We start from the raw sequence: 8,356 nt of genomic DNA on the forward strand, positions 1-8,356 counted from the left end.
GTTTTTAGTCTAATTCTTTTGTATTTAATCTGTCTTTTCTTGCTGGTGACTTAAAAAAGAATTCTCTTTACTTTTTTTATTTTGGTAATTTTACTATGGTGTATCCAGGTATGTTTTTATTTATCCTACCCAGTGCTTGTAGCACATTTTCAAATGGGGATTCTTTTCTTTTTATGTTTTTTGTTACAATTTATTCTTTTTTTAATTTTTAATTTTTGTGGGAACATAGTACATGTATATATTTTGATACAGGCATGCAATTCATAATTACATCATGGAAATTGGGGTGTCCATCTCCTCAAGCATTTTCCTTTGTGTTACAACCAATCCAATTATACTCTTTTAGTTATTTTAAAATGTACAGTTAAGTTATTATTGACTATAGTCCTCCTGTTGTGCTATCAAATACTAGGTCTTGTTCATTCTTTCTCACAATTTTTTTTGTACCCATTAACTATCCCCACCTCCCTGCCATCCCTGCCGCCCACCCCAGAGGAATCTTGTGTTTTCTCCAATTCAGAAACATGTTTAGCCTTTATCTGTTCCAATACTGCTTTTCTTCCATTAACACACTTGCATGCACTCCTATAACAGGTGTATGTTGAAAACACTCAATCTATTCTCCATGTCTATTAAAAGCTCTTTCATGTGTTTCAATGTGTTTGTTTCTCCTTACTGCATTTCCTCAGGGCTATTTTCACATTGATTCTCTTTATTATAACCACTGTAGGCTTTATTCCATCTGTTAACTTATAATATTTCAATGGCTATATTTTTTTATTTCCAAGATTTCTAATTATAATTCTAATACATTCTGTTAAAATATCACTCTACTTGTGCTTCATTTCTGCCTGCTTATTAATTCATTGCTTGCTGTTTTTAATAACACCATTTTTTCGTTTACCTTTTTGTAAGACAGTTTAGTTTCTTCTGGAGTGAACTTACATTCTGAAGTTTGATTTATTGGCTACTTTCATAGCATTAGATTACTTTATGGGGTTTGGAGTTAAATTTGCAGAGTCAATTTGAGTAGGAAGTTTATCCTTTCTTCCTTCCTTCCTTCCTTCCTGTCTCTCTCTCTCTTCCTCTCTTTCTCTTTCTTTCTTCTTTTCTTTCTTTCTTTTTTTTTTTTTGTGACAGAGTCTCACTCTGTTGCCCAGGTTGGAGTGCAGTGACGCCATCTCGGTTCACTGCAACCTCCGCCTCCAGGGTTCAAGCAATTCTCCGTCTCAGCCTCCTGAGTAGCTGGGATTACAGGCGCCCGCCACCACGCCCGGCTAATTTTTTTGTATTTTTAGTAGAGACGAGGTTTCACCATCTTGGCTAGGCTTGTCTTGAACTCCTGACCTTGTGATCCGCCTGCCTCGGCCTCCCAAAGTGCTGGGATTACAGGCGTGAGCCACCCCGCCCGGGCATTCTTTCTTTCTCTCTCTCACTCTTGCTCTTGCTCTCTGCTCACTCTTCCTCATTTAATTATTTTTAAGTTGTCTTTCTTAGCCTACCCCAGTCCCTCAGGGTGAAACAAGATTTTATATTACAGATGACAGGCCTCTGTTCTAGAGTAAATTGAGGCTAACACAGTTCCCTGAAGAGCCAGTGGATAATTTTGTTTTGTTCCTGGTACTTCCTTTTTCTATTATTCTGAGATTTTCTTACACTTTCTCCTGACTTACACTTCCTATTATCTGATTTCTGAGTTTTACTCTTTCTTGATTTACTCCCTGAATTTTAGTGAAGCATTACCTTTTTGGGAAAAAGTGCAAGAAAGCTGTTTTAGAGCATTTCCCTTCCTAAAAATGTCTTGATTCTACTCTTATGTTTAATTGTTTAATTTGCCTTAGAATTTAAAGGTATTACTCCATTGTTGTCTAGTTATTTGTGTAATTGTTGAGAAATCTGATTTTATTTTTATTTACAATCTTTTGCATGTGACCTCTCTTTTCTCTCTGTAAGATTTTAGGCTCTTTATATCCTGATGTTCTAAAATCTATAGTGATGTATCTTAGCGTTGTCATTTTGGTGACATTCAGTGTGAAATTCAGTATGGAAAGTGATATCCTCCAGTTCTAGGGCATTTTATTGTATTTGTTTAATAATTTCTTCTCATTTCTCTTCATGGAAAAGAGGGGCTCCTATTACCTGGATGTTAGGTTTTACTTTTTTATGTTTTCTATTAGTTATAGTGAATAATGCTGCTATGAACACAGTATACAAATATCTCCTCAGGATTCTGTTGTTAATTCTTTTAGGTATATACTCAGAAGTGAAATTGCTAGATCATATGGTAATTCTATTTTTACTATTTGCATGAAATGTATTTTTCCATCTTTTCACATTCAACCTATTTGTGTCTTTGAATCTAAAGTGAGTCTCTTGTGGACAGCATTCAGTTGGATCATGTATTTTTATCTATTCTTCCAATTTCTGTCTTTTAATTAGAGAGTTTAATTTATTTATATTTAAAGTAATTACTGATAAGGAGGGACTTGTTATGTCATTTTGCTTTGTTTTCTATATGACTCATAACTTTCTTGTCTCTCATTTCCTGCCTTACAGTTTTCTTTTATCTTTAGTTGACTTTTTATAGTGAAATGTTTTAATTCCCTTCTCATTTCTTTTTGTGTATATTCTATAATTATTTTTGTGGTTACCATGGGGATTATATTTAACATCTTAAAGTTATAACACTCTAATGTGAATTTATACCAGATTAACTTCCAATAGCATACAAAAAGTCTGCTCCTTTACAGCTCCATGTCCACCTCTTTTTATTATTGATGTCATAAAATTACATCTTTATATATTGTGCATCCGAAAAGATAAACTAGTCACTGGTTTTTAAAATTCAGTAGTCTCTTACATTATGTAGAAAATGAAATATGGATTTACAAACCAAAGTTATAAGAATACTAGCTTTTAGACCAATAATTGTTTTTTAATTTATTAGTCTCTTAAATCACATAGAAAACAAAAAGTGGAGTTACGCTGGGCGCGGTGACTCACACCTATAATCCCAGCACTCTGGAGGCTGAGGCGGGCGGATCACAAGGTCAAGAGTTCGAGACCAGCCTGGCCAATATGGTGAAACTCCTTCTCTACTAAAAATACAAAAATTAGCCAGGTATGGTGGTGGGCACCTGTACTCCCAGCTACTTGGGAGGCTGAGGCAGGAGAATCGCTTGAAGCCGGGAGGCAGAGGTTGCAGTGAGCAGAGATCATGCCACTGTACTCCAGCCTGTGCGACAGAGCGAGACACGGTCTTTAAAAAAAAAAAAAAAGTCGAATTGCAAGTCACTGTTGGCCTGGCGTGGTGGCTCATGGCTGTAATCCCAGTACTTTAGGAGGCTGAGGCGGGCAGGTAGCTTGAGCCCAGGAATTTGGGACCGGCCTGGGCAACATGGCGAAACTCCATCTCTACAAAAAATACAAAAAATTAGCCAGGCATGGTGGCACATGCCTGCGGTCCCAGCTACTCTGGAGACTGAGGTGGGAGGATCACCTGAGCCTGAGGTCAAGGTTGCAGTGAGCTGAGATCATGCCACTGCACTCCAGCCTGGGCCACAGAGCGAGACCCTGGTCTTAAAAAACAAACCAACAAAAAACCAAGTTATTGTTACCATAAAACTAGCTTTAATAATTGCCCATATATTTATCTTCATTAAGAGCTTTATGTTTTCATATAACTTTGAGTTACTGTCTAGTGTCCTTTTATGTCAAACTGCAGGAACTCTCTTTAGCATTTCTTGCAGAGCAATTTTTGTTTTGTTTATTTCTTCCCTGTGATTGTGTCATACTTTCCTATATCTTTGTATGCCTTGTGATTTCTTTGTTGAAAGTTGGCCACTGGAATCTAATAATGTGGCAGCTGCTAGTCAAAGTCCTCCACATTCCCACAGGGTTTGCTGTTTTTTGTTGTTTGAGTTTTGGTTGTTGTAGGCTGTACTCATGCCAAGCCAAGGATCAACCTAAGGTGTAAACCTAGGGTCTCCTCAGGTGTTTTCTGAGCCTGTGTCTTTTCCTGGGCATGTGTGGTGACTTTCTTATTTCCCCTGGATATGCAGTTGCCTTTGAATGTCCTAGTCTTTAATGTTTGGCTTCCAAAAGGGCAAAACGGAAAATGGAGAGGAAAAAGGCGCTGGCCCTTTAAGTCTCCTGGCAGTTGCTTCAGCCTGAGGGGGAGGGACTTGCCTGCCACCTTGGAGGAGGGGTTGGGTGGTGGTGGTGCAACAATGGCTGTCCACCTCTGTGCGGACACTCCTAGGATCAGAAGTAGCAATCAGCAGTCAGAACACAGATCCCCAGTATTTGGAGGATGAGTACTTGCTCCTTATTGCCACCCAAGCCCAGCAAACTGCAAGCAAGGGACTCCAGGAAGAAGTGCACAGCTGCCTGGCTGGAGGCTACAGGGTGGGGGATGGTAGCTATTGCGAAGCTAAGAGCTGAAATTGACAGAAACTGCAATTTACCTTGCAAGCCTTCTACAGATGTCAGAGTTCCAAAATAGTTACATCAGACATATCCTGCCAGTACCACTTGTTGATAGATTCCTGCTGCTTCCTATGTTGCCATCTTCCCAGAATCCTCTCCTAAAAACTTTTCTTCTTAATTCTTTTTGGTTTGGTTTTGTTTTTTGGAGGGGAAGAAATTTTATTTATCTGTACCCCATGAGTTTTATTAGTGATTTTTATTATTATTTTTTAAATTAATCTTTCTGTGTCAATAATTGTATAGGCCCAGTCCTCTTAACTCCCTTTCCTGTTTATCTAGCAACTGTTTGAATTATTGTGTCAGACTTTAAGCTAGGAGCTGGATGTTGATAGTTTCTATTTTTCAGTTACTCAGCTGCCTGAGGAGGTTGGGGAGATGGGAAAAAAAAGGGAGTGAGGTAATTTCTGTCTACGTAGGGGCATTTTTCATTTAAATTTGTTGAATCTCTGCATTTTGTCCAGAGGGTCAGTTCCTTTTGCCATATCTCTGCTTTCTTGTCTTTAAAGAACATCGGTCATCTTGGTGACAGGATCAGTTAAAGTGAAGACCTATAACTTGTGGACATACATGAAATGTGGTCTTCTATTTCATCTGTAAATATTTCAGCATGTATCTTTAAATGATAAACTTTGAAGACATAACAGCAAATATATTACATCTAAAAATTAACAAAACAACTTAATATAATCAAATATCCTGTTTTCAAATTTCCAGTTGTCTCATACATGTCATAAATGTGTTTTTGTCTATTTGCTTGAATCAGAATCCAAGTAACTTCCACACATGATGATTGATTGATACACAATTTAAGTCTCTTTTAATCTATAGGTTTTCTCTTTCATCTCTTTTTTCTGTCCAATTTTTTGTTTGGTTGAAAAAACAGGTCATTTGTCTTATACAGTTTCACAAAGTTGATTGTGCTCATTGTGTAGTTTAGTATGTTCCACTGACCTCTGTAATTCCTGTGAATTGGTAATACTATAGGCACTCTTGTTTTCCCATAATGACTGGTTTTCTCCCATTTTTTTGTGATATTGACAGATGTCAAACATTTTTATATGCCAACCAAAAGTTATTCATCCTTCCTCCATGCTAGTCAGAACTACTATTTTGCTCAGTTGTCAATTTGCCGAGTCCCAGGGTATAAATCATGATTGGTTTGAGTCAATTACAACAATGCTGTTTTTCTTTACCATCAATTTGTTCTAGAGATGAGTATGTGATTCCATGTTGGCAAATGAAATATAAGAAGTTCATTAGAAAAGGTTGTTCTCTCCAGTAAAATTTGAAAGAGTGTGAGAAGATCTTTTTTTTTTTTTTTTTTGCTTTTTCTCACTTCTTCCTGCTTAATATACTGCTGAGGGAGGATACAATGCCTGGTGCTGTGATAGCTACATGATCTCAATCTGATTCTTGTTCTGTATAAGTGATCTTTTTATCTCTGGAAACTTTTAGAAGTTCCGCTTTGTCTTTGATATTCTTCAATTTCATTATAATGTATCAGGGTTGAGTTTTTTTTTTTTTTTCATTATATCTGTTGCTGGACACCCCATGAACCATCAAACTTTTATTAAAAGTTTGCCTTAAGATGTAATGAGCCATAATAATCTACTTTTACAAGTTCTCAAGTATAATTTATTGGTATTAACATAGTCCATATGGCATTGATCTCACAGAAATCAAATTTATCTTTTAAACTACTTTAGACAAAAAAAACAAATTAATCTGCACTAACAAAAAAGAAAAGAAAAACCCTATACATTTTTATTCTTTTAAAACTTTAAATAATGAAATGTTCTATGCATATACAAGAGAAATAAAGGAGTATATATAACATATATGTGTACCAGGTTTGTTCTTAAATGTAATTAACAAGTATTCCACTTAATTCTTTTTTCTTTTTCTAAGGACTTGAATTAACTGTGCTATCTATTACATTACGCTCAGGATGCAGACAGTCTTAGGAAGAATTTGATGTGATTAGGGGTGGGGAGAGGTACCCTAAAATACTTAGGTAAGACCAATATAGTTTATACAGTTCATTTTAATGTTCTTTCTGTTTGAATATAGTATCCATGAAAAGAACTAAGAAAGAGGGACTATATCTTTCATTAAAACTTAATAAAAATGTCTTGGTCATCTAAGAAGTGTGAATTGAGAGGGAACTGTCAGGGATGCCAACCTAAAGAAAAATCTTTCTCATCCTGTGTTACAGTGTCTGAAATCTCATCTTTAGAATTGCTTTGTTGGATCATAAAATCTTTCAAATATTCAAGAAAATTCCATTGAACTGATGGCCCTCCATGAGGAATCATGTCTTATTTATTGCTAGCAGTTTCTGGCACATAATAGGTATTCAAGAAAATGTCTGCTGAATAAATATTAAACAACAAAATTGAAAAGAACATTGAGAAGAATAATACTTAAAGATCAACTAACACTTGTATGATAGATTGCCACAAGTAATTAAGCCGTATCTTTGACCAGGATGTGTAACCACTTTATGCTGTATCACCCAGGCTCTTCATATCTCTTTTTTTTTTTTTTTTTCCCAATTCTGATTGCACTTGATTATATTGTTGGGGGTAGAGAACCTGGGCTTGAGTTCATAGATCAGCAAAAAGAAGAGAGACATTTTTAGAGACTCTTACTATCCAAATTAATATCATTTAATCTTTTATTATCATAGTGCTTATGATGTACCAACTTATCTGTGTCTTAAAAGTATGTTTACATTGTTGTAAGAACAAATATAAGTTTGATTTAAGTATGATTTACAGGTGAGAATCCTTAGAGAGAAATGAATTTCCATTTATATATTATTTTTAGGAGAAAATTTCACTGTCTTAAAGTGAGCTGCTTTATGACACAGAGTCCATGAATCGTACGCATATTTTTTTTAATCCTTCCACCTCAGCCTCCTGAATCGCTGGGATTATAGGCACAAGCCACTGCACCTGGCATCAGTTGTATATTGAAAAGCAGAAAGAGGTTTGCAATCAAGATGGAAACTTCATTACTATCACCACCATCATCACTTTTATCATTTCCATTACACTCTTGGTGCAATGGCGTTGAGTACTCTCTTCAGTCTATCAAACAATATATAACGTGTTAGTTATATGTTGCACAGCTCTGAGAAGCTCAGAGGTTAAATGCTGTCAGCTAGTAAGCAGTAGTAAGGTCTTCAGAGGGATCAACTATTTAAAGCATTAATCTAGATGTCCTATCCCCATAACTATCCTTCTCAAGTAAAAAAGTATTCCAGAATCCTTTCCTAAGCTATGATTTAGCCTTCTCCCCTTTGTATCTTTTTCTCCCTTTTAATCATCTTCCCTTCCTTCTTGATTCACTCTCCTCTCTCCTCTCCTCCCTCACCACCCCACTTCCACTTTTTTTTTTCTTGCTAACCAATATGTTCAAAACCTGAAAGGAGATCAAGAGAAACCTTTCAGGTTTTGAACATAGAGGTTAGCAAGAAAAAAAAGGTGATATGAATGGTGGAAGAGGTGATATGAATGGTGGAAGAGAAAGGGGAAGAGATAAGGTAAGTCTGACTAATATTTTAATTTATTTTAACTTTCTCCAATTCTTCTATAACATAAATGCAGGTTTGCAAGGTTTTGTAGGTGAATGTATATGTAGAAGTAAAAATAAAGTTATAATGTGAATACTGTGGGGGGGGATGCAATATCTTAATCGAAAAAACAAAAACTACATCAAAACACAGAACAAAAAACTCTGTCCATTTTTCCAAACTAACATCGTTTTTTGTTATTAAAAGAAAAATCTCGTTCTCTCTCTTTCTGCTGTGATGTGTGTGCATGTCTGGCTTGCACAGAAATGAGGACCTGAAGAGAGATGGGTG

General features: G+C 36.1%; 2 annotated features.

Moving 5' to 3' along the window:
* Positions 3,467-4,051: an enhancer, noted in NCBI's record as "H3K27ac-H3K4me1 hESC enhancer chr10:97883716-97884300 (GRCh37/hg19 assembly coordinates)". NCBI's record gives its function as "activates a minimal SCP1, AML or CMV promoter by ChIP-STARR-seq in naive H9 embryonic stem cells {active_cell/tissue: H9 hESC(naive)}" and the evidence as "EXISTENCE:reporter gene assay evidence [ECO:0000049][PMID:30033119]".
* Positions 4,052-4,637: an enhancer, noted in NCBI's record as "H3K27ac-H3K4me1 hESC enhancer chr10:97884301-97884886 (GRCh37/hg19 assembly coordinates)". NCBI's record gives its function as "activates a minimal SCP1, AML or CMV promoter by ChIP-STARR-seq in naive H9 embryonic stem cells {active_cell/tissue: H9 hESC(naive)}" and the evidence as "EXISTENCE:reporter gene assay evidence [ECO:0000049][PMID:30033119]".

The sequence above is a fragment of the Homo sapiens genome, chromosome 10 (genome assembly GCF_000001405.40).
Source record: "Homo sapiens chromosome 10, GRCh38.p14 Primary Assembly".
NCBI classification, from domain to species: Eukaryota; Metazoa; Chordata; class Mammalia; order Primates; family Hominidae; genus Homo; species Homo sapiens.